Here is a 26,554-nt window from a genome sequence, read left to right on the forward strand (position 1 = left end):
CATTTCTCTAAAAGCCAGAGACCATCTCACTAAAAAACCTCTCCTGTCTATGTGAATAAGCAGCATCTAATACTAGTATATTTTTTTATCATCCATTTTGAGAATATTGAAATGACCTTTGATAAAAGGAGGATGGAATTTGTTTATTTTAAGCCTTTTAATATTCGGAGTTTCCAAATGCATGTCTATAAGGAATCTAAAAATTGGACGTGTTTGTTCTTCATCAGTTCTAGTCATTCCAGCACACGGTGAGTGCTTCTGTGGAGGCAGTGGTGGGCCTGAGGGCAACGGCGGTGGCCCTCAGAGGGGCGGTCCACCTGCACCTCCCTCTGCACTGGGCCCTTTAACCCTGGGCTACATCCATCAACTGTGATGTGACAGTGACAGAATATTCCTAGGATTTTGAATGATTGTTGGGGTGTGTGACATCTGTCCCTAGCAACGAAATGAAATATAGGAAACAAGCTTTCCCGCCGCTGCAGGTTTCCCAACTCAGAAAGCCTGGAATGGCATTTTATTTGCCTTTCACTTAAAGAAGGAAACAGTGCTTTCAGGGGCCCTAAAAAATACCCCCTAATAGTTAAGTTCCACAGTTTATTCAGATGATCTGGGGAAATCGTAATGAAAAAAATAAAATATTTTAAACTCTCTAAATCAGACATGAGCCTTTGAAAAACTCATTTCCTAGCAGAAAATGTATAACATGCATAAGGAATATTTTTATACATTTTTTTTCTCAATTCCCTGCAATAGGATCAGATTGCTTTTTATTTTTTCTATAGCATATTAGGGAAAGGTCCCAAAACTATTCATTTTATATAAATGAATTAAGTGTATAATTTCAGGGTTTTCCAGTGTGCTAGTCTCTCCAAGATAAAATTATCATTTAGAAAAATTAAACCTGATATTACACATAAAATCTTACAAATACTTTTTTAGAGATTTAATTTTTATGGATACATAATAGTTGTACATATTGATGGGATATGTTATACAAGGATACAATGTGTAATGATCAAATTGGGGTAATTAGGATATCCAACACCTCAGACATTCATCACTTCTTTGCATTAGGAACATTCTAAATCTTCTCTTCTAGTTATTTTGAAATGTACAATAAATTATTAGCCGTAGTCACCCTATTTTGCTACCAAACACTAGATTTTATTCCTTCTGCCTAACTTTATCTATCTAACTGTATTGTTCTACCCATTAACCAACACCTTCCCACCACCCTTGCCAGCCTCTGGTAACCACTATTCTGTTTATTTCCTCTGTGAGATCAATTTCTTCAGCTCCCACATATGAGTAAGAAGATGGGACAGTTGTCTTTCTGTGCCTGGCTAATTTCACTTAACCTCATGTCCTTCAGTTCCATCTATGTTGTTGCAAATGACAGGATTTCTTTTTTTTTATAGCAGAATAATATTCAATTATGTAAATATATCTCATTTTCTTTATCTTTTCATTATTTGTTGGACACTTAGGTTGATTCTATATCTGAGCTATTGTGAATAGTGCTGCAGTCAACACAGGGGTGCAGATATCTCTGATTTGCTGATTTCCTTTGTTTGGAAAACTCTTATCAATGCTTAAAGCTTATTTTACCAGGAAGCCCAGGGCATCTTTGAAACAATTTTTTTTTCTTTTTCACCTTTTTCCTGCAGTGTGAAACATAATTTTATAAATTATATAAATATGTTTCAGACAAATCCAGGACTGCTGACATTATAAATGGACACTCTACCAATAGTCAAAACACATTATAGCAATATCCATGTATTCAGAAGAAGATGGCAAACTAGCATGAGCTGCTGTCCCCCTTCTCCCACACTCCATCTAAGAGATGCCTCAAAAACAAAATTGGAGCTGATGGGTCTGAGAAAATGCAAATAAAACGGAGAAATCCTTGGGGAGACAGAAGATAGGCAGGTCTTAAGAGAAGATAGGCAGGTCTTAAGGAAGGGGCTCTTGGCCGACCAGAGTGGAAGATGTGGGTCGTCTTACTGGGTAAGGCCTTGTGATTATGCACTTTCCTCATGAACTCTCTGTGGCTTCCCTCTTGCCACTGTGGGCAGAGAACTGGAGCAGCAGTCCAGCTAGCCAGCACCCAGAGGTCCCATAAGTGCCAAAGAAGGGGCTATTCAGGGGGAGGTGCATCTGCCAGCCCTGGAACATTTAACTTCCCCCAACCCCAGTGAGGGCCAGTAGTTCAACCTAGGAGGCAGCTCTAGGAAAGAGGGGCACCAAGACCAAAGTACAGAGTGGTTCTCTGAGAGACAAGATAGGGGATCGGGGGTGGTTACCCCACCAAAAATAGGAATTCACAAAGGAAAACAGGCAAGCATGCAAAGAACACAAGTGCTAGAAAAGAAAGACCGCAAACAGAACAACCTATATGGGTGATGCAGAATAAGCTCATTTCTTTCTGATAAAAGAAGAGAAAAATATAGAACTTTTTACAAAAGGCATAACATTCTCTAAGTCCTTCAATTTATGAAAGCAGTTAGCAGTGAAAATGCTTCTGGGATATAATTCAGCTGGACTTTTTAGCTAGGTTCGCACTAATAAAGTGAAGTAGGTTCAATTCCAACCCTTAGCTGTATGAACTTGGGCAAGTTGAATCACCTTGCAAAGCCTTGGGTGTCTAGGCTATAGACTAGGGATAGTAAGAGTTCCTACCTCATAGAGCATGACCATAAATACATGATGTAACACAGATAAATGCCTTAGCAGGCATTGTACCTGTTTCATAACAATAATGGAAGAAAAAGAATAGCCATTACCACTCTCGTTACGTTCTAAGCATGTTACATACGTTAACTTGTCCTGTCATCTAAACAGCATGTATAATAGATTCGCTAGTTATGCGCATTTCACAAAAGAGGAGAGCAGAGAGGTTAAGTAACTGGCTCATGGTCACACAGCTTAATAATAATGCCCTTAATAAACATGGGTATTTTTTGAATATTGCATTGCTGGTGTAGCTCTCTCCCCCTGCTATTGGTCTGTAGTGCCTCACTGCTGCTGTTTTCTTGCAGGTGACTATCCGGCACCAAGAGCCGTCCTCACAGGCCATGACCATGAAGTTGTCTGTGTTTCTGTCTGTGCAGAACTTGGGCTTGTTATCAGTGGTGCTAAAGGTCAGAAGTCATTTCTTTCATTTTCAATGTCTAGAAGATGACTGTTTTCTCACACTAAGCGTGATTGTCAGTTTATTTCTTCCAGGAAGCTTCCCATAGACAAATGGTATCCCAAAGTTATTTGTAGATGTTTAGTTTTATGATTAATATTTACTGGCACTAATATAAAATATGTATAAAATTTTATGTAGTATTTTGTGGTCAACAGTGTTCTAAGCAGAACACTGATAAATTACAGTGTATTCTTATGATGCAGCCATTGTAAAGGACATGTAAAAGACAAGGGGAAAGTATCCCTGATGTAGTGGGGGAGGTGGGGGGTCATGTCACTCATCAGACACGGCCTAGGATCCCCTCCCTCTTCAAGTCCCTTTCTTTATAAGGCCAGGGGCTGTGTAGAGGTTGGTGGAAAGGAAACAAAGATTACTTGGTTCTTTGGAGGTTTTGTTTTGTTTTTGAGGCATACCTTCACTCTTGTCACGCAGGCTGGGGTGCAATGGTGCAATCCAGGCTCCCTGCAACTTCCGCCTCCTGGGTTCAGGTGATTCTCCTGCCTCACCCTCCCTAGTAGCTGGGATTACAGGCGCCCGCAACCAAGCCTGGCTAATTTTTTGTATTTTCAGTAGAGATGGGGTTTCACCATGTTGGCCAGGCTGGTCTTTAACTCCTGACCTCAGGTGATCCACCCACCTCAGCCTCCCAAATTGCTGGGATTACAGGCGTGAGCCACCACACCCAGCCTCTTTGGAGTTTTTGTAGAAGATCTTTCATTTCAGGAAGTCAGGAAACTTAGGTCCTAGTTCTGGCTCAAATAGCAGTTCTCTGTGGGAAGACTCCCAGGCAGAAAGGAGCCTGATGCTTGGAGAAACTGAAAGGAGCCCTGGGTGCTGCTGGAGTATCACCGTGGTGCCACAACCTGGAGGAATGAGAAGGCTGAAGGGATGGGAGGGGCCTGGGGCACAAGCATTTGCAATTTTTTTTTAAATGAGTATAGTAGGAAACTATTGAAGTTTTTTAATCGAGGTGATGAGATAGATAGGTTTGGTTGTTAGAGCTCATTTCAGCCTTTCTACGGAGAATGGATAGAGTCTGAAGGCTGGCACCATGTTTTTAAAATTTTGGTATCTAAGAATAAATAACCCAGAAATGGACACATAGGATATTTTCAGTCTTTTAATTTTAAAAAGTAATAATATGTGTAATATCATTTTACCCTGTGAAGTTAAAAAAAAAAAAAAAAAGGAAAATAAGTGACACATAGTAGGCGCCAAGAAAGAGACATTTCCTGCAGGGGCTGTGTGATATTAGAGATGATTGCTGGTGTTTTCCTAATTTTCTATAGGGCAAGTCTATTACTTTAGTAATCAGGACAAAATTTAATCATGTCACTTGCTTTGTAAAATATGTGTCTATTCAGCTCAATTAAAAATAAACACGTAATTCATACATTGTTTTGTGGAAATCTTTTTGGGACAAGGGAATAGATATATAACACCAAACTATAGTGACCAATTTTTATGAATTGATCAGTGAATTTTTTACTTTATCAACACTATTTTATAAGGGCAAAAAAACCCAGAAACCATCAGAGCCAAATGTCACTCCTTACCCTCCTTTCACACTCTTGCCTCACTATTCATTTATTTGAAAGACAAAATATCTTTCTGTAGGCTGAAATACTTAAGTTTTCTCAATTTTGCTTTTACATTTTATGCGTATGGATGACAGAAAAAGGTAAAATGTACTTGACGGCAGTGTATTGATGTGGTACAACGCGTAAAATTTTGATGCTACTTGAGAAAATGAGCAGCTGTTCTGATAATTCTATTAAACTTTCAAGAAAAGTTTCTAAAAGCGTATTAAGAGAAAATGTCTGGCACATAAAGTCTTTTATTGTCACGTAATCTGTGAGCTGTACCATTTTACTATGAATATTACCTGACAAAGGAAAAGACCAAGTATCTACCTGGTGAAGAAGCGTGCGGCGTAGGAGTGTGATATGTAGCAGGTACTCTGGCTTTGCTCTGTTTAAATGTAGCATCAGCGCTTGGCCTGGCCAGCCTACCTCTTTCCTGTCCTCTTCCGTCACATCTGAGCGCACACCCAGCAAGGTTTTCAGGTTGGTGGGAGCTAGTATGTCGTTTGTCGTCCCCAACTGACCCTGGCATTGATGTCCCCACTTTGCAGAGGGCCCTTGCCTTGTCCACACCATCACTGGAGATTTGCTGAGAGCCCTTGAAGGACCAGAAAACTGCTTATTCCCACGCTTGATATCTGTCTCCAGCGAAGGCCACTGTATCATATACTATGAACGAGGGCGATTCAGTAATTTCAGCATTAATGGGAAACTTTTGGCTCAAATGGAGATCAATGATTCAACACGGGTAAATCTGCATAGTTCGTGCTAAGTAGGACTGAAGCCAAGAGATTAAAGATTGATTGTTTTACATTAAATAATTCATAATAGAATGTCTGTGCTATCCAGATAAATGTGTTCTAGATTAAAAGTATATAACTTCTTGCGGACTGGTACTTTAAAGAAACCCAAAGTTCATTTAATTGCAAGTAATTAACTCACTGCATTAGACTTCAGAAATGATAGCTGTTGTTTGATTAAAGCTTAGAACCTCGGGAGGGTTTTTAAAGCTCCTTTTATAATTGTTTCAGTGCTGCACCCTCACAACATTAAAAGTGAGTTTATTTTCAAAGATTTCTATCTCTAGAACCCTAAACAAAAATTACATATACCCATTTGCCCTTCATTCATGAATAAATTATAATTGCTGGGTTGTCATTATTAAACACTGTTTTGAAATATGTTTCTTCCATTTGTTCTTTAATTCTCTATAATATTAATATTCAAGATTTAACTAAACATGTTACTTAATGCTCAAATTCTTCCTGGATTAAATTGATAATATTCTCTTGGGAATTTAATCTTGGTTTTAATAAGATCTTTTGTATATGTAAGAACTTCGATGAATTCCACAATGGAAATTCTGTGGATTGAACTTGATTTTGTTGGACAAATGACTGACAGTAGGCAATAATGATAAGGGAACTGTACTGAGTACTTTTCAGTAGTGACAGTTGGCTATTTAGGAAAAATTGAGAGAAATGGTTGTTGTGTATTTTATTTTATTTTGTTTTTTTTTGTTTGTTTGTTTTACCTTTTCTGAAGGCCATTCTCCTGAGCAGTGACGGCCAGAACCTGGTCACCGGAGGGGACAATGGGGTAGTAGAGGTCTGGCAGGCCTGTGACTTCAAGCAACTGTACATTTACCCTGGATGTGATGCTGGCATTAGAGCAATGGACTTGTCCCATGACCAGAGGTGAGCTGCGTCAAGGACAAGTATCATCACTGAGAACTGTCATTGAAGGCTCTCTTCATTCTACCAAGGGTGAATTGTGCTGTGAGTGCAATTCCAGCATCCAAATGAAAGAAAGACTGGCAAAGAAAAGGGGAAAATGAGGGGAAGAGTAAGGATTCTAGTGAGAGGGAAACAGAGGAAGAGAATAAGAAGGAAAAAAAGAAAAGGATCTGATGAAGAACAGGTGCCTGCAGACATGTTTTAAGGGCCCAAGACATAGAACTTACTCCCACCAAGTTCCCTGTTCTCAGGTTCCTGCCTAGTCTCAGACAGGCCACCCTGGCTTATATGATGTGAGGGAAACACGTATTTTTCAGCAGAGGTGGGATTCAGTGTGAGACCTACTTCTTGCTAACCAGTTTCCAGCAAAGTGCATAGTGTGGGCCGTAGCTGGCCCCCCTTTCAACAGCATGCGGCACTCACGCATTACCCAGAACAATTTTTTTACCCCCATGTTCTTATTTACCTGTTTCTCATTTATGTTATTTTGTTTTATTGTATGTATTTCCTTAAAACACGTTAATCCTTTAATCCAGCTCTTTCTTGGAAAGAGTTGATATGGATGTTAATCAATTAATAATGATTTTCCATTGTTCCTCAATTTGCAATAGGATTTTATTATTTCCTGAAATTTACCTTTGGGTTTCTTACAAAGTGAAAATAATATTAGAAATATAAAGTCTAAAGTTCCTAAGCCTTTAAAATAAACTACAACCCTGTAATCTGAATATGGCATGTGATTTCTAATTTTTGCTATTTAACAGAAATAAGAAAAGCTTGTTAATCAACGTTTTTCCCAACTACATGTAATATTCCTCATAACAGTATTGGTTTTAAAATATTTTAAATATTAAGACATAATAAAGTTAACAAAGCATCTTCACAATATAATAAAATGGCACTGAAGTCATCAGGAAAAACGCTGTAAGCTAATTTAGTCTGGGAAAGGATGTTTGGTCTGCAGCCCAGACTGTTTTTAAAGAAGGTTTAAGGTTATTATTGGAGTATCCCAAAGTGCTGCAGCCCATACTTAGGAATAAATGGGAATGGTTTGTTGTGTTACTATTTGTATATATGTGTGTTTCCAGAGTGTTTGAAATGATTTGTGTTTGTAAGCAGTTTCAATATTTCCCTGATATTCTTACTCGTTCGTGTATTCATTTTGCTGCCATCATCATAGGTTGAGTGCAGTGCAAAGTACTAAGGATCCACAACAAGAAACTGACCCCAGAGAGCTCAGATCCTCATAATCATTGCATATGAGGGCACCAGGAACAGACTAACAGAAGAAGGAAGGGATGAACTCTTCTTGAGGGCTGGGAAGGGCAGGAAAGACCTTAGAAGAGGCTCATCCATTCACCAGGCATGAACAGACAGGGTGGATGGAAGAGCATATTCAAAGTTGCAGTAGTATTAGGGGGTCTCAATGGAGGGGGGAAAGATACTAAGTTTCTATTTCTATTTTAACCTCATCCTTGGTTTTGATTATTTTGTTGTTTTATAATGAATAGTGCATGCATATCAATTATAAACTGATAAACATATATTGGGGATATTACTCAAAAGGTATTTATTGGATGAGGTGTCTAATCAAAAGTGAAGCAACACTTTATGTAGACAGAAATCCTGAAACCTGAGTTCAGTCAGTGGCAGTGGGACTGGGGAGGAATATCCCTGAAAAAGAAGCCTCAGAGCTGAACAGCTGATCAGTTAGGAGGGAGAGGGAGAGGAGACAAGGTGACTTAACCAGCAAAAGACCAGCAAGGTCAGAAGGTACCAGTGATTCATGGTGGACATGTTGAATCTGAGGGTTTTGTGACACAGCCTGGCAGTGACCTCCACTTGGCAATGGGAAATCAGCATCTGGGGCTTCAGAATGAGACGTCGTTGCCTTTACGTCCAGGGAGACTGTGGACCGAGAGGACAAGAGGTGGAGTGATTCAAGGGGGCAAAGAAAAGAAAGGTCACAGAGATAGGAAGAGATGCCAGATATCCTCAGAGAAGCCAATAGATGCCCAAAACAAGGCAGCGGACAGGCACGTGTGTGATTGCTGAGAGAAATGGGGCACCCAGCGGAGGCTGGAAATGTGGTTCCGTGGGCCCCTCACGCTCTGCAGCAGGGCTGGCTGTCCAGGTGTGTGCGGGCTAACTGTGCTCCTCTCAGCAGAACCAAGAAGAAATTTCAGTCCTACTTCCATGAATACAAAATTAAGACTTGGCAAACCTTGAGATCGTGATATTGTCTAGTGTAAAATGCCAAACTTTGAGATACTGTCTAGTGTAAAATAGCAACCACAGAAATGATTTTATATCACTCTTAACTGCTGTTTCTGCTTTTCCAGGACTCTGATCACTGGCATGGCTTCTGGTAGCATTGTAGCTTTTAATATAGATTTTAATCGGTGGCATTATGAGCATCAGAACAGATACTGAAGATAAAGGAAGAACCAAAAGCCAAGTTAAAGCTGAGAGCACAAGTGCTGCATGGAAAGGCAATATCTCTGGTGGAAAAAACTCGTCTACATCGACCTCCGTTTGTACATTCCATCACACCCAGCAATAGCTGTACATTGTAGTCAGCAACCATTTTACTTTGTGTGTTTTTTCACGACTGAACACCAGCTGCTATCAAGCAAGCTTATATCATGTAAATTATATGAATTAGGAGATGTTTTGGTAATTATTTCATATATTGTTGTTTATTGAGAAAAGGTTGTAGGATGTGTCACAAGAGACTTTTGACAATTCTGAGGAACCTTGTGTCCAGTTGTTACAAAGTTTAAGCTTTGAACCTAACCTGCATCCCATTTCCAGCCTCTTTTCAAGCTGAGAAAAAAAAAAAAAAACACGTTTGATACTTTGTACATCAGATGCATCTTATTTAAAAGGGATACTTTTGTAAAAGTAAAACCTTGTATAAAGAACAAAATGTTTCTTAATTTTATTGTGGAGTTACAACTTGCATGTTCCTTACTCCTGTTGGCTTGATGGAACAGGTGCATTCACACTATGAAACAGAAAGATCTGTCCAAGGACACAGCTTGTATGAAAGGGTTGAATTTGGGCTCCATCAGTAATTTTTGACATTTTCACCAAAATATAGTTTGCACTTTTTAATCTAAAGTCATCCCTTCTGAGTGAAATTTGCTCATAAAGCATTTGGATACTAAGCCATTATTTGCCATTTTGGGTACTTTATACAAAGAAAATTCAGCCCTACCCTGCATAATTTGAAGACACAGCAGAAAGGGGGCTTAGGGATGAGGTCCTGGTTTTTCTTGTATAAATAGGAGTCATGGGCGTTAGTTCTGTAGTAATAACTTCCCAGCACCTGGACATCTCTTCCAGAGTTATCCCACTGGCTTGGTGTGTATACATTAGGGGAGGATAATCTGATGCTAACTTTTTTTTTCTCTTTGGTTCTTGAATAGCTTAGTTTCTTTAATAACAAGTCAAACTTTATTACAACAATAACTGAAGTTATTCTTTTAGGTTCTCGTGAAATTCTCACTGAAAGCCACATTCTTAGCCTAAGGCATTTCATCTTTTATGATATAAAATGATGGCTATCAAATGATTTTCCATACATTGTACTGATCAAGTTATACACCCAGGGGTATATACACTTTCTTCATGTTTCTTCTTTGTATATTTGGTGACTGTATCGTCATAGATGTACATATTGTGTCGGTAGGGCTATGAGGCATGTTACAGGAATGTAATTTTCTCAGAATTTACACTCACTCGCAGTCATTTATTTAAAAAGATAAAACAAGATAATGGGTTCTTTGTATTGGCACTTTGCACCAGAAACATATCATTATTTATTGATGTGATTACTTATTTGTTATCCACCTTGTACTAGTAAGTTTTAGCACTGAATTCCTTCTTCACTGTTGTTTGTATTTATGAAATTCTGAAATTATGGGGAATCAGCGTAATGATTAAGTTATTCATCACCAGGCTGTAAGCAATATCTTGAGTTTGTAGCTTAGAATTGGGAGGATACTTAACATCTGGAAGACAAGTTCATTTCATCTTGAGATCATGGTGAAATATTTTGGATATATAAATTCCTTAAGCTATTGTAACCATGTTTTATTGCAAAGATGTAAAATATGCCAGATGTGTGTGAGTTGGAAATCAAAAAAAGAAAAATAAAATATGCAAAGAATTCACCGACTGTTTCAGATTTCATTGGACATGTCACTAGCATGCTTTCATTGTGTTGTCATACAGGTTTCCGAAGTCATCATCATCTGATGTAGAGCCTACAGCATCTAAAAACATGAAATCGAGTCCTAATGAGGTTCTGCAATTTGCTGAAACCTGAGCTGCTCTGCCGAGCCATCTGGCAGGGATCTGGGGCAACAGCGACCATGGGGAAACGGCCCTCATTGTCTATTCTGCATAATCCACTTTGGGGATTGTCTTTATTTTATTTAAAAGGAACTAAGTAGTGAAGGTTATAATAACTCCTTTTTTGAGTGTTATCACATAATGCCTTTTTCATTTGAAACCACACCTTCTAGAACCCATCAGTGACCAGGCATGGCACAGGCAGGGACCGAGGACCTGGAGAGGCTGAGCAGCTGCTAGCAAGGGCAGCCACGAGTGGGCTGAGGGGGATTCGGTCACACAGATTGGCATGGGTGGTAGCAAGGGCAGCCACGAGTGGGCTGAGGGGGATTCGGTCACACAGATTGGCATGGGTGGTTGGGGCAGCGGCCCAGACAGGCCCAGAGAATGACAGAACTGCAGGCCGTGCTTCCATCCGCATTCCCGAGACTAAAGGGACAGACCCAACAGTAGCCTAAGGAAGGTTTGCGCTCTTACTTTCCATCCTATCCCCAAACCAGAAATCTGTCAGTCATCTGCCCTGCTGGCTCCCTCACCCAGCCCTCCTGCCAGGCACTCCAGCCAACTGACTGATCACTACCTAAAGTGTCTTTTGAAACTGCCCCTGCCCTTTCCAGCACTGTCATCTGGACTGTCCGAAAACCTCCTGACCTCTGACCTGTCCCCTCCCATCCATGCTCCGCCCTGCTGCGAAGGCACCCATCCAGTCATCTCCCTCCCTGCCGCCCCGCGCCCCCCTAGTGCCCCCCAGCGCCCCCCAGAACCCCCCAGCACTTTGAAAAACCAATACCAATGGCTTAAAATGGTATTCTTAAACTCTGGTGGGTTGAAAATCACCTGGGGAGCTTATTTTTAAAAGCAGGATCTAGAGTCCCACCGCTCCCCCCTCCCACCCCAAGCACTTCTTGGGCACATTTTCAACAACACTGATTGGAGGGATAAATTCTAAGCTCAGTGAAGCGAAGTCCTTCAGGAACCACCCCCAGCAGCCAGCACCCCTAGTAAACCAGCCTTTTTCCAAGTTCCTGAGAACTCTCTTGCACCTGAGTCCCTAAGGCTCCTCCTGCCAGGCGGCCCCTCTCTGCCTGCACCACTCGCCTACTGCCTTGTCGCAGATTGACCTAAACCAATTTGGTCATGCACAGTCTTTTTTGGCAGGTAAAGGTAGCCCCCAAAACACCACATCTTCACTATTTCATGATGAAAACAACTTTTAGAAACAGTTTCTGCTATGTGTGGGGATACCTTTTTTTTTTTTTTTAATTGAGACAGAGTATCACTCTGTTGCCCAGGCTGGAGAGCAGTGGCGGAATAATCTCGGCTCACTGCAACCGCCGCCTCCTGGGTTCAAGCAACTCTTCCAGCTCAGCCTCCCAAGTAGCTGGGATTACAGGCACGCATCACCATGCCCAGCTAATTTTTTTTGTTCTTAGTAGAGATGGGTTTCGCCATGTTGGCCAGGCTGGTCTTGAACTTCTGACCTCAAGTGATCTGCCCACCTCAGCCTCCCAAAGTGCTGGGACTACAGGCGTGAGCCACTGCGCCCGGCCGGTATACTTTTAAATGAAACACATTTTAGCAAGCAGGCAAAAGAGTGCCTGCAACTCTTCTGTGAGTTTGGTGAAGTCCAGAGCTTGGCTTTTTTACGTGATCTCAAAATCATTTTACATTTCCAAAGGTACACTTGAAGCAGATGCACTAATATTCTAGAAGTAGCATCCCATGAGCCTTGTAATGCCATCAGCAGCCTCAATCCTCCAACCCAATCATCAAGCCATCAAGCTCTGGGCACCACCCTAAGAGTATGTGCTAAAAGCCTCATTAGATTGTTAAACCCTGGTTATAGAGAGGTAGGAAAAGTTCAAATACTTTAGCCAGCATATACTGAATTTATATGTATATTTAGCATCATTAATTCCATCAACAAAAGAACATTTCTATCATCCATTGAACTAATTTAGAAGCCAATAATTTCCCCTGCTGCAAAGCCATTTCTAGTATTTACTACCCTAACTCATAGAGCTTCCAGTTTATTCAGGATTAGGAAGCTGGATTGTTGGAATGACACCTTTCTGAAATGTATATTTCTGATCAGGGCAACTGACTATCCCTAGAACGCAGTATAAATTAACACATCACATGTCTATACTGGATATTTTAAAGTAAATTACAACATCATAACATTCCTACTTACTCTTACAGGCTCCCCACTCTGGGATGTCTTCCCTGACCACTGGCTTAGCCTCCTCACCCCTGGTGGTGGGCCTGGCACAGCCCTGAGCAGTGCATTATTGTAACTCACATGTCTTTCCTCCATGTGGCTATGAGCTTCATGGGCAACACGAAGCTTATGTCCTTAAAGCAGTGTTGGATTCAGAGTAGATTCTCAACAAATGTGATTTGCGGAATGTATAGATAAGCAGACAGATACCACGTCCCTAAGCAAAATGACAAAGTTGGCTGGGACGGTCCAGAGCCCCCAAACTTCCCTCTTCTCATTGTCCCAGGGCCCCACAGCCTCATGTCACCCTCTCCCAGCCTGCATGACAGTGCCCGCCAGGGAACCTCCTGCTCCAAGTACCACCTCAGTTGTGGGCCTATTCCATCAAAGTTCAGAGAATCAATTTCCAATAAGCACCAAAAGAGGGAATATTTTAAGATTTTAATTACTGCTCTTGACCCACATTCATTTAGTGGGAAGAAAAAGGAGCTGACAGATGATCTGGGGTAAGAGCTTCTGGTATTGCAGCCCATTCAAGCTGCCTAAGAACAAAATCCAATAACTGGGCTCTTCACTCTGAGAATAACTTGTTGGCTCCCTCATCAGTTAAAACAGGCACAATAGCTACGTTAAGTATTGTTTTGAGTATCAAAATACAGAGCATATACCAAGCACCTAGTAAAGCACCTGGCTCCCCGCAGAGTTCAGCAGATGGTCATTGCCTCCCACCATCTGGTGAGCATGGATTATCCTCATCTGCTCAGCATCCCTTTCCCTATTTACCTGCTATGGATCTTCCTGTGGGAAACTTCTCCTCTCTTCATCATGGGATTTAGTAGGACTGCCGGTTGTACCACCGGATCCCTGGAACTTCCTGGACTCAGGCCTGGCCAACCATGTCACCTTCATTTCTGGGACCTCGATGATTGGTCAGGGTTAGACATGACCTGAGTTGGGCCAATGAGAACCCTTTTGAAATTTTTTATATTTTGAAGTCAGAAAGAAAAGTCTCTTTCTTCCAGAGTCACTAACCTGTCAATAAGAAATCGGGGACTACTAGCAACCCTGTTCTCTGTTGTAGAGAAGACCTGTTTGCAATAGGTAAGAATAAAGCCACGAGAAATGAAAGAGCATGTGCACTTGTATGCCAGCCACAAGTTTCTGGGAACCTAAATTGCCCTCATATTTACAGATGTCCCAATTCTGGATGTTTGCTTTAGTCAATGACCAATAAACACTTTTCTCTCCCCCTTACATTGATCGAAGCTGTATTTAGTTTGTTTATTTATTTATTTTTAGTACTTGAGATCAAATCAAATAACCCTTAAGAGATACAGCTCCCTGCCCCCTGCTCTCCACCCTTGCTTAGAAAAATGTAACATATTCCAAATTTGGTAGGAAACTAAGCATATTCCTAGCCTATGTATGATGCCATAATCCCACATTTACATATAGTTCCAACATAAATGCTTTTTCCATCCATCAACACACATGGAAAAGAATGCTCTTGTCAACTTTGTTCCTAATAACCAAATATACCTGTTGAGTTTTTTAAAAATCCAGACACTGATATATGCTGTTAGGAATCAGAACGGTGGTTACTTCTGACCAGAGGTAGTGACTGGTAAGGGCCAGAGGGGGTTTGGGGGTACTGGAATGCTATTCTGGGGTGTTGGACTCTATCTCAGAGCTACGGGTGTTACAAAGATGGGTCTGCTCTGTGAACCATCATTGAGCTGTGTAATGATGATTTTTCACTTTTCTGTGTGTATGTTACCCTTCAATAAAAAGAAGTTCACTTTTAAAAAATTTTTTGAAAAAGCACTGGCTCTTGTCACCACTCTGAATTTGTCTGCCCATCATCTGAATTTGGGACCACCATCACCATTCGTCCCTTTCTCCAGTGCTTTTTAGGTCTGCCACCTTGGCTGCCATGTCCCAATGGGCACTTTTCTTCTGACGACAGCCTGGCCCCAGTGCTTCCTCCTCCAGGCAGCCTCCCCTCCACTGTCCAGTAGGAACCCTGCTCTCTGTGCACAGCTTGTACACACTCCTCCTTTAGCACCTGTCTTAGTGTAACTATAAAAAAATACCTGAAACTGGGTAATTTATAAACAACAGAAATGTATTTCTCATGATTCTGGAGGCTGGGAAGTCCAAGATCAAGGCTAGCAGATCTGGTGTTCAGTGAGGGCTCATTATTCATAGATGACACCTTCTATGTCCTCAAGTGGCGGAAAAGACAAACTCCTTTGGGTCGCTTTTACAAAGGCACTAATCCCATTCATGAGAGCTCCACCCTCATGTGCTAATCACCTCCTAAAAGGTCCCACCTCTTAAAAAATAGCCAACTTGGAACTTGGAGTCCTGGGTCTGTGTCCCAACTCCCCTGCTGGCCAGCTCTGTGGCATTGGGAAAGTCCTCTAACCTTTCTTAGGCTTAGTTTCTTCAGATGTAAAATAGATACAATAGAATGTGGATTTCACATTATTTGCAAATCATAAGGTGCCACATAACTAAGGTTTCACTACTGAACAATGAAGCCCTCGGGCCTCAATTGGAGTTTTTATGACACAGCCAAACCTCCCAGGAGGATCTGGGGCTCTTTTTCTATAAAATCTATGTTCTCTGTGGGGGAGCCTGGGCCAGTGGCATAAATTTGCATTTTGGTTCAGTTTACCACCTAGTAAGAGACATTTTGTTTAATTGAGTTCTATTTTTTTTAATGTGCCTTCCCAGTCAGCACAGAAAAAAAACAGAAAGCTAGTTGACATCACTTGGAAAGCCAGCTCTCTTCGCAACCGGGCCTTTCTCTGAGTGATTGTTCTTTTTCTTTTTCTTTTTTTTTTTTTTTTTTGAGATGGAGTCTTGGTCTCTCACCCAGGCTGGAGTGCAATGGCGCCATCTGGGATCACTGCAACCTTCGCCTCCTGGGTTCAACCAATTCTGCCTCAGCCTCCCAAGTAGCTGGAACTACAGGCATGTGCCACTATGCCCAGCTAGTTTTTGTATTTTTAGTAGAGACAGGGTCTCACCATGTTAGCCAGACTGGTCTCGAACTCCTGACCTCAGGTGATCCACCCGCCTTGGCCTCCCAAAGTGCTGGGATTACAGGCATAAGCCACTGCACCTGGCTGTGATTGTTCTTGGAGAAATGAACTGTATTCCCTGTTTGCCTCTAGAGCAAGCTTGGTCAACCTGTGGCCCATAGGCTGCATGTGGCCCAGGATGGCTTTTAATGCAGCCCAACACAAATTCGTAAACTTTCTTAAAACACTGTGAGATTTTTTTTTTTTTTTTTGCAATTGTTTTTTCAGTTCGTCAGCTATCATTAGTGTTTGTGTATTTTGGGTGTGGCCCAAGACAATTCTTCTTCTTCCAGTGTGGCCCAGGGCAGCCAAAGGATTGGACACCTCTGCGTCTATAGCCAAAAACCTGGTAGGGAAAGGGGTGGTTAGAGGCTCGGATGCCACTGTACTTCCCTCCCCTCTGGTGGCAAGAACTTCCCCCAGGAATGGTTCTGAAGGCAGAGGGGCTTTTGCAGCTGGAGGCCAGGAATGTTGAGAAGGACAGACCAGAGCCGGCTCCACTCAGGCTGAGAGAGGCCTGCGGAAGAGTCAAGCTCTGCCTCCCAGGGGCAGGCCGGGTGACAGGCCACGGGCCTGAGGAGAGAAGCCTTTAGCCCAAGGTTACTGAGGGGCCACAGAGGCCAACTCATCCACTCGCCTCTATTATCCTACTGGGAAACTGATGCCCAAAGAGGTCATGATCCCTGTCCCAGGCCAACCACACAGGTGGTAGGTGGCAGGGTCCCCATCCTGCTCCCCTGCCCTAATGAACACCCAGATCAGATAGGACAAGGCTGGAGAGGGGCTGCAGGCCCGTGAGGGGGGTGGTGGGGGAGGGGAGTTTGGGATGAGAAAGACTGTATTAGGGTCCCCCAGAGAAACAGAGCTGTAGTAGAATACATCTCTATCTATATGTATACATACACACACACATATAAATATATACATATATACATACACATAAATATATACATATATATACACACACATACACACACATAAATGTATACATATATACACACACATATACATATATACACACATATATACATATATACACACAAAAAATATATACACACACACATATAAATATGTATGTAAATATACACACACACATATAAATATGTATGTACATATACACACACACATATAAATATGTATGTACATATACACACACACATACACACATACATATAGAGAGATGCTTGATGAGGAACTGGTTCACACAGTTACAGAGGCTGACAGGTTTCACAGTTTGCTGGCCGGAGACCCAGGAAAGCCAGTCGTGTGGTTCCTCCTGAGCCCGAAGGCCTGAGAACCGCAGGAGCTGAAGGTGTCGATCTTAGTCCAAGCACCGGAGAAGGTGAGATGAGATACCCCAGCTCAAGCAGACAGGTGGGAGGCAAAAGGGGTGGCTCGCTCCTTCCTCCACCTTTTTGTTGGATTCAGGCCTCTGTGGAGGGGCTGATGTCTGCCCACACTTGGGAGGGACAGAGTCTCACTCTGTCGCACAGGCTGGAGTGCAGTGCCACAATCTCAGTTCACCATAACCTCCATCTCCCCAGTTCAAGCAATTCTCCGATTCTCCTGCCTCAGCCTCCTGAGTAGCTGGGTTTACAGGTGTGCATGACCACGTCTAGCTAATTTTTTATTTTTAGTAGAAATGGGGTTTCACCATGTGGGCCAGGCTGGTCTTGAACTCCTGACCTCAGGTGATCCATGAACCTCAACCTCCCAAAGTGCTGGGATTACAGGCATGAGCCACCACACCTGGCGGTGGCACCACTTTACAGAGTGCAAATCCCATGAAGAAACAGCCTCAAAGACACACCCAGAGGAAATGTTGAATCTGGGCACCCAGTGGCTGGTTAAGACAACACAGAGAATTAACCCTGCTGCAGATACAAAGGCTCCCCCAGGGGCAGACGGGTGGGCTGCCTAGCATCCCTTGTGTCATTAGACCGCCCGTTCTCAACCCTGATCTGAGGGCCCAGGACAAAGATGCCCTTGGTCTAATGAGAAATTAGACAAATAAGGGCCATACAGCGAGCTTGTCCCGATGCCTAAATCACCCCATTGTGTTTATTCTGAGGTTATGTCTTTTGTATGTGCTGAAAGTTTCCTGTCAAATGAAATTAAGGAAACCATAGATGATCGCTATTCATGTCTTTCTTGATCAAATAAATCCAGTGTCTAGAATGTTTTTGAAATGTTACTTGTTCCTGAAATTCCAAAATCAACTTGATTAAGACCGGGCATCTGTCTTCCAGAGAAGAGAGGACTGGGAAGCCCTGGAAGAGGTAGTCCCAAGTCCCCAAACTCAGGATGCTGCGGCTAAAAGCAGCCAGGGTGGCCAAAGTCAGGGTGGGTGCAGAGCCGGGGGCATCACGCTTCTGCTGAACCCAACTAAAGTAACTCTTCCTCTGTGCCTGGGTGGTTCAACAGAGCTGAGATCTGAATGGACGTCTACTTGAGGTAGCAGGAAGCTACTGGCTTAGTTCTACCCACAGAAACAGATTCCATCACAAACCTCCTGCAAGGGACCCCCCGCCCCAGCTGCTGTGTGTCCCTGCCCCTGGGAGTGATTACCCCAAGCTCTGGCTTTCTACCTGGGGTTGCATAGATGAAAGGAACCCCCTGTGAGTCTGTCCCAAAGTCCTTTGTGGGGCTGTGGCCAGAGGTCTTGGTGCCAGGCTAGGGCTGGAAGCTGGCAGGATGCAGAGGGAAATTCAAGGCTCCAGGCACGCACCCTTCATGATCTGAAGTGGGGCGGCGGGGGATGCCCAGGCTCAGGAGCTGGAACATCAGGCCCAGCACACACTGGGAAGCTGGATGGACCATCTGCCAAACTCAGAGGATTTTGTCCTTGGAGACAGGGTCTTCCCTCCATCAGCTGTGCTTCTTAGAAGCAAAGAAAATCAGCTTTTGGTAACTGAAGCAGAAAAGTGGTTTATCCAAGGGGTATTTGGGAAAATCCTTGGCCGAGCACAGTGGCTCATGCCAGTAATCCCAGCACTTTCGGAGGCCAAGACGGGCAGATCACCTGAGGTCAGGAGTTCGAAACCAGCCTGGCCAACAGGGCGAAACCCCGTCTCTACTAAAAATACAAAAATTAGCCAGGTGTGGTGGTGCACGCCTGTAATCCCAGCTACTTGGGAGGCTGAGGAGGGAGGATTGCTTGAACCCTGGAGGCGGAGATTGCAGTGAACTGAGATCATACTACTGCACTCCAGTCTGGGCAACAGAGTAAGACTCTGTCTCAAAAAAAAAAAAAAAAAAGAAAGAAAGAAAAGAAAAGAAAAAGAAAAAACAAAAAAAAAAAAAGAAAAAAAAGCCTCCTCTACTTCAGGCTGTGGAGTGGACCAGAAGCCCTGGATGCCATACCCAAATGGAACAACTAGAACATTGCATTGGATCAAATACAAAAACCAGTGTTTAAATGCATTGCTGGGTTGACACTAAAGGAGAGAGTCCTAGAGGCAAAGCACAAAGTGAGAGTAGGAAGCCTGGGTCCCCTGAAGGGAATTGTTTTGGAGACCAAAGGAGGGTGGAGTGGGGCTGGCTGCCCAGAGGCCCAGGAGCTCTCAGCAGGCAAGGGATCTAGGCGGGTGCATTTGCATCAGGAGTTTTAATAAACAGACAATACCCGACCTACGATGGTTGGATTTAGAATTTTTCCACTTTATGGATGTCTGGGGTATTAAATGTATTTTCCACTTCATGATGTTGACTTATGTTGGGTTTTTGGGGACATAGCCTCATCGAAAGAGAAAAAGCATCTGTATGTGTTGGTTCAGCATTTGGTTTGGTTTGGTTGTGAGTGAGGAAATCGGAGGCTGTTGCCTCCGTCAGTAGAGATGGAGTAGTCAAAATGTGAGGCCCGCGGGTGAGGATGAAGACACTCGCAAAGCACAGGCCCATGCAACAGGGATTTACACACCGCAAATCTCAAAACTGACGACGTTCAGGCATAGCAGCAGCCTTCCCTTTTGGTTAGCATGGTTGCTATTCTTCCTAGTTTGCTCTTTCGCAGGGACAGTCAAAAACAAAAAAGAAGCATAATCATCATAATAATAGTTATTATTAGTAACTCTATTGAGGCCATCACTGTGGCTCACACCTGTAATGCCAGCACTTTGGGAGGCCGAGGCAGGCAGGTCACTTGAGGTCAGAAGTTCGAGACCAGCCTGGCCAACATGGCAAAACCCCATCTCTACTAAAAATACAAAAACAAATTAGCCGGGCATGGTGGCGCACACCTGTAATCCCAGCTACTCAGGAGGCTGAGGCAGGAGAATTGCTTGAACCTGGGAGGCAGAGGTTGCAGTGAACTGAGAGCACGCCATTGTACACCATCTCAAAAAATGAAGAAGAAAAAAAACTATTGAATAGCCCTACTGGGTACCGGGTACCTAGCACAATTATATGACTTAAATACATTATTTCTTATCCTCACAACAACCATCTACAGTAGACACTATCATTCCAGTTGTTCACATACAGGAACTGAGGCCCAGAGAGGTTAAATATCCTGTCCAAGGACATACACACAACTCTGAAATTAATTTATCATTATATTTGAGACACTGAGAAATCAACAAGCAACGCTTTTACAGCATGTGCAAACACAGTTTTTATGTGACCTTTCCCAACAGAGCATTTGATAAAATTCAAGGAAATGATGTGAAAGCAGCTCAGGGCATCAAACCCTTGGACGTGCTAAATGAGCAGGACCAGGTTTGCAGCCTTCAGGAAATCTAACTTGATAGATTGTGTCTAGGTTGGCACATTGCAAAGAACTTGAGGGCAGACAACCTCCCCTCACAGGGGCCTGAAGAGGCCTGTCTGCCATAGTGGTGGTGGAGGCAAATCTGGAAGGTTTTTTTTTTTAGGTGGAGTCTCGCTCTGTCACCCAGGCTGGAGTGCAGTGGCATGATCTCAGCTCACTGTAACCTCTGCCTCCCAGGTTCAAGCTATTCTCCAATTCTCCTTCCTCAGCCTCCTGAGTAGCGGGGATTACAGATGCACACCATCACGCCTGGCTAATTTTTTTATTTTTAGTAGAGACAGGGGTTTCACCGTGTTGGCCAGGCTGATCTCAAATTCCTGACCTCAAGTGATCCGCCCTCCTCAGCCTCTCAAAATGCTGGGATTACAGGCATGAGCCACTGTGCCCAGCCAAACCTGGAAGTTTTAGAAATCATGAATGCAAGAAATGGGGGCCACCATCTCTCACGAATGTTGAGAAGCCTGACGGGTGTCCTCACTGAGCATGAAGGCCGCCCCCATCATTAATTCATTCACTCATTCAGCAATTATGTCTTAAGTCTTTATGGTTTGCCAAGTTCTGTATGAGGCCCCGCATTCAAAGCAGTAAGCAAAACCCTCGAGTTCAGTGGGGGAGCCCAACAACGCACGCATCGTTTCCTTGCCAAGTATCACTGCTGCGGTGAGTGATGGCAAAACAGAGGCAAAATGACAATGCAGGTCTCTCACTTCATGGATCACATCCTGGGATCCCAAAATCGCCACATTAATACTGATACACTGTATTTTATCTTAAAATAAGCCATGTCCAAACTGTGTACCTCTAGCTAAAATAACTATTCCAAACTAGTCCCTGGTCTCTGTTCTTGCTGAAAGCACAGCTGTGTTTCTCCAGGTAGGATAATCGGGAAAGACGGTACAGGCTGAAATAAATTTTCTCAGGCCAGGAGAAAGGAGGCTCCAGGGACTGGCATTAGCTGAGAAAGAAAACAGAAGGGGATGGAGGATGAGAGGAGAAAAGAACCACCTGTGGGAGAAGGGATGCGTCTGGCTCCAGGTGAAGAGATGGGAATTAGGCTGGGAAACTCCCCAGCTCCTGTCTCCTTCCCTCTTTCCCCTCGCTGCCATCCCCTCCAATCCCCTCACCATACCCCATCCTGTTTGCATTACTGTCTGTTTCCACTTCACCCTCGTTCTAAATGATTTTCCAGTCGATAGAATTTCACTGGAACTCAAAACTGCTTTGAGGAGACATGAAAAAGAGGAATAAGCAGAAGAAACAATGAGAATCCAAGGGAGATCTTTTGGGAGGGGTTTTAAACAGAAGGGATGTGATCAGAGCCCTTTCTAAACATGTGCACCTTTGTTCAGTTTGAATGTAAAGACCATATGTCTTTATTTTATGTAATTGCATATCAAGATATAAATGAATATGACTTCAGATTGAAATTCTGAAAAATCAGTATTATACCAACAAAAGTACCATAAGCTGGTTCTGAAATGTCGCTTGTTAAGCCAGAATCCTGGACGCCAATGGATATTGTGATCGCCACTCTGGTAGGGCTGTGGGCAGAGTGCAGGGGCACAAAGTGGAGAACCTCTGCCCAGGCTGCGGTGGGCTTCCTGGAAGGGGTGATGACCAGAAGCTGAGATGTGAAGGATGGGAAGTTAGAGAAGAAAAGGATGTGAATGTGGAGAAGAGGTGACCTCGCACCTTTGGGTGCTGTGACTTTGATGTTGGTGCTCCAGCCACACAGGAAATGCTGCAAGCAGTGCCAGGGTGCTCCTCAGGAGGCAGTTCAGGACCCACCTCACTTTTACTTTTTTTTTTCTTTTCTTTTTTTTTTTTTGAGATAGTGTGTCCGGAGTTTGTTCCTTCCAGTGGGTTCATGGTCTCACTGACTTCAAGAATAAAGCAGCGGACCTTCGAGGTGAGTGTTATAGCTCTCAAAGGTGGCACGGACCCAAAGAATGCTCAGCGGCAAGATTTATTGTTAACAGCAAAAGGACAAAGTTTCCATAGAGTGGAAGGGGACCCAGATTGCTGCGGCTGGCTGGGGTGGCCAACTTTTATTCCCTTATTTGTCCCTGCCCACGTCCTGCTGATTGATTGGTCCATTTTACAGAGCGCTGATTGGTCAATCTTACAAACCTCTAGCTAGCCACAGAGCACTAATTGGTGCATTTTACAATCCTAGCTACAGAGTGCTGATTGGTGCATTTTATAATCCTCTTGTAAGACAGAAAAGTTCTCCAAGTCCTCACCCAACCCAGAAGTCCAGCTGGCTTCACCTCTCAATAGGGTCTTGCTCTGTCATTCAGGCTGGAGTGGAGTAGCCCAATCTTGGCTCACTGCAGCCTCGACCTCCTGGGCTCAAGCAATCCTCCCAGCCTCAGCCTCCAGAATAGCTGGGACTACAGGCATGCACCACCATGGCTAATTTTTTTTTTCTTGTATAGACAAGGTCTCCCTATGTTGCCTAGGCTGGTCTTGAACTCAGCCTCAAGCAATCCTCTATCCTGTGTCTCTGAAAGTGCTGGGATTACAGGAGTGAACCCCCTATACCCAGCCCCACCTAACTCTCTTTTTTTTTTTTTTTTTGATACGGCGTCTCGCTCTGTCACCCAGGCTGGAGTGCAGTGGCGAAATCTTGACTCACTGCAAGCTCCACCTGCCGGGTTCACGCCATTCTCCTGCCTCAGCCTCCTAAGTAGCTGGGATTGCAGGCACCCGTACCATGCCCGCCTGGCTAATTTTCTTGTATTTTTAGTAGAGATGGGGTTTCACCATGTTGGCCAGGCTGGTTTCGAACTCATGACCTCGGCTGACCCCCCCCGCCTGGGCCTCCCAAAGTGCTGAGGTTCCAAGTGTGAGCCGCCGCACCCAGCCCCCACCTAACTCTTAATGGACTGCAACATACACTCTAGAAGAGATGTCTGAACAATTCTAAAAACAGACAATCCTTAGTATCCACTTCAACCCCTCAGAACATTAGCAGCACCCTAGGCACGACTGATTCCCAGCGGCAGGGTCTCTGCTGAGTCCCCTGAACCTAAATGTATGAATTAGCACTTAAGGAACTCAAAAATCAATGTCAGAGAATGCAGCTGCCGACGTTGAAGTAGGCAGTTGTTTCCTAACTCTTAAATTTCACTAATATATTGTAACAAAGATGGAAACAAACTGCATCTTTATGGTTATAGAGGGTTCTCTTCCTCCATCACTAACATGCACTTACAGGCTTCCCAGAAGAAATCTCCTTTCTGGGACTTTTAAGAGATAGAGAATACAGACAGACCTTGCCCCTTTGTTGGACAGATTCAAATGTTTTGCTTGTTTTTGTCCTTTATTTTTTTAAAAATTTTTGGTAAGAAACAGGGTCTTACTCTGTCAGCCAGGCTGGAGGGCAGTGGTGCAATCTCGGCTCACTGCAGCCTCAATCTCCTGGGCTCGAGCAAATGTCCCACCTCAGCCTCCTGATTAGCTGGGACCACAGGCACACACCACCACCCCTGGCTAATTTTTTTATTTTTTGTACAGACAGGGTTTCACCATGTTGCCCAGGCTGGTCTCAAACTCCTGGGTTCAAGTGATCCGCCCACCTCGGCCTCGGTTTCCCAAAGTGCCAGGATTACAGGCATGAGCCACTGTGCCTGGCCTTGCTTTTCTTGTATAGAAAAAAAATTCTACCTCATTGTCATTTCCAAACATACCCTCAGTTCTGCCCCTGGAAGCAAAACAAATTGGTACTGGAAAAAATGAACAATCCTTCTGGCTTCAGGAGCCCCAATTATTTTTGGAGAGCATTTGTTGCTTATTAGAGGGACCTTGACAACAAAAGCCTCACAATTCATTACTTAACAGGAGAATACTCATCTTCCTATTGGATTTGACAAGGGGGCTATAATAAGTTCTTCTAAAAGCAAGCCCAGACCACTTAATTATAAATTGTAAATGAAGATTTTTTTAAAAATCCTTGTTTCACAGAACTTCACACATCTATGTACAAAATCAAAAGACTGTGAGTGTCTACACTGATTTTTGTTAAGTGTAGTGCAGATTTTTATAAGGGCATTAATATTTGGTTCACAGAGAGACCAAAGAAAAATTTAAATAATTGTTGCATTATCTCTGGCAGATTTCTCCATAAGGTGAAAGGAAATATGGAAGTGGTCAGTGTTTGGGAATGAAATCCAATTGTTCCTCATATAAAATAAGGTAATGAGAAATCCAGACCCAAAGTTCTAAGGAGAAAACGGGTACAAGTTTAGAAGGAAAAACTATCGGAGTAAATGAATGGGCATGTGGGATCCTGACATGGGGATATTGGGAAAACAGAGTAGACTGCATTTTAAGCTTATAAAGAAGGGCATATAATACAAGAAGTAAAGAGACATAAACAATTTAGCAAGAATCAGAGCAAACCATTTAGATTCTATTTTAGCAATATGGAGGCTTCGCTATTCTCAAACCATCCCATTACAAAACACCTAAAAATGTTGGAGCCCATGAGAATGTAAGGGAGCACACAAGAGGCCAGTATCAAAGCTCAGGTGTGAATTCCGAAAGCTAAATTCTTCAAACTACCCTAAGGCTATTTGCCAATCCCCTTTAGACAGCCCTGTGGAGAAATAAAGATAAGGCCGAGACCCATCAAACTAAAGAGTTGGAACAGAGCCCACCCACCTCCCCCGCACCCACCCACTCCCTCAACACACAATAAAGCCAGAATTCCTAAAAGTCTATTCTTAAGGTGTAAGACTGAACTAGGAAAAAAAAAAAAAAAAAAAGAAACAAATTTTTTTCTCTTTGGCTTTGTGTGGAGAAGGATAACAGTCTCTACTGAAAATTCATGATCACATCCCAGCCCATGATCTGCGTGATGTTGAAAGACTCAAGCCAAGGCTTCCATTTAAAGTGGATCTAGTTTGCTACTTCCCTAGGCACCTGGAAAAAAATAAATGCAAATTGTCCTTGGAAAAATGGACCTTAGTCTTCAGTAATTTTCCGTGATTAAATTTGCATGGAAAATGAGCTCTTGGGAGAGAGAGAGAGAGAGAGAGTGAAAGAGAGAGAGAGAAAGAAAACATTCTACTAGGAATAAGAATCAGTACAAGTAATGAACAGCGGAATTAGACTCCTAAATACTACAAATATGAGAACTACAAATATCAAAATGTATTAAAATTATGTTTAATATGCTGTACATTTTTAATATGTATTTTCATATTCTGAAATTCTACTGGTTATGAAGTGGCTACGCTGTCCGGAGTATATACCCTGCGGTTCGTTGTCGTACTCCGAGAAAGAATTCAGGACACAGACACACGTGGGTGAGTTAAGGAGTGGAAAATTTAACAGAAGAAAGGAGAGAGGAGAGCAGCTCCTTGCGAAAGAGAGAGATGTCCGAAAAGGCGGGAGGTGGTGGACTGTATCAGATTTTATAGGCAGTCTGGAGAAGGTGGCATCTGATTTACACAGGGCTCACAGATTGGTTTGATCAAGTATGATGTCTACATAGTGTATGGGGAAGGCTGGTCGCCCCACCCTAATCTTCTTATGCAAATGGGCTTTCTAGTTGATCAGTGCCATCTTGTCTGCTCCTTTACAGTACAGGTGGCTG

General features: G+C 43.1%; 1 protein-coding gene across 14 annotated transcripts in view; it reads left to right on the plus strand.

Annotated features, from left to right (window-relative positions):
- Positions 1 to 10,693, plus strand: part of NBEA (neurobeachin) — a 730,467-nt gene extending 719,774 nt beyond the window's left edge. For all 14 annotated transcript variants that reach the window (XM_047430271.1, NM_001385012.1, XM_006719803.4 and 11 more), the window contains 4 exons: positions 3,042 to 3,143; positions 5,331 to 5,527; positions 6,325 to 6,476; positions 8,858 to 10,693. In XM_047430271.1, coding sequence (XP_047286227.1) covers positions 3,042 to 3,143; positions 5,331 to 5,527; positions 6,325 to 6,476; positions 8,858 to 8,948 — 542 coding nt within the window. In that variant the 3' untranslated portion in view covers positions 8,949 to 10,693. The remainder of the gene's footprint in view (positions 1 to 3,041; positions 3,144 to 5,330; positions 5,528 to 6,324; positions 6,477 to 8,857) is intronic.

Source organism: Homo sapiens, chromosome 13, assembly GCF_000001405.40.
Source record: "Homo sapiens chromosome 13, GRCh38.p14 Primary Assembly".
Lineage (NCBI taxonomy): Eukaryota > Metazoa > Chordata > Mammalia > Primates > Hominidae > Homo > Homo sapiens.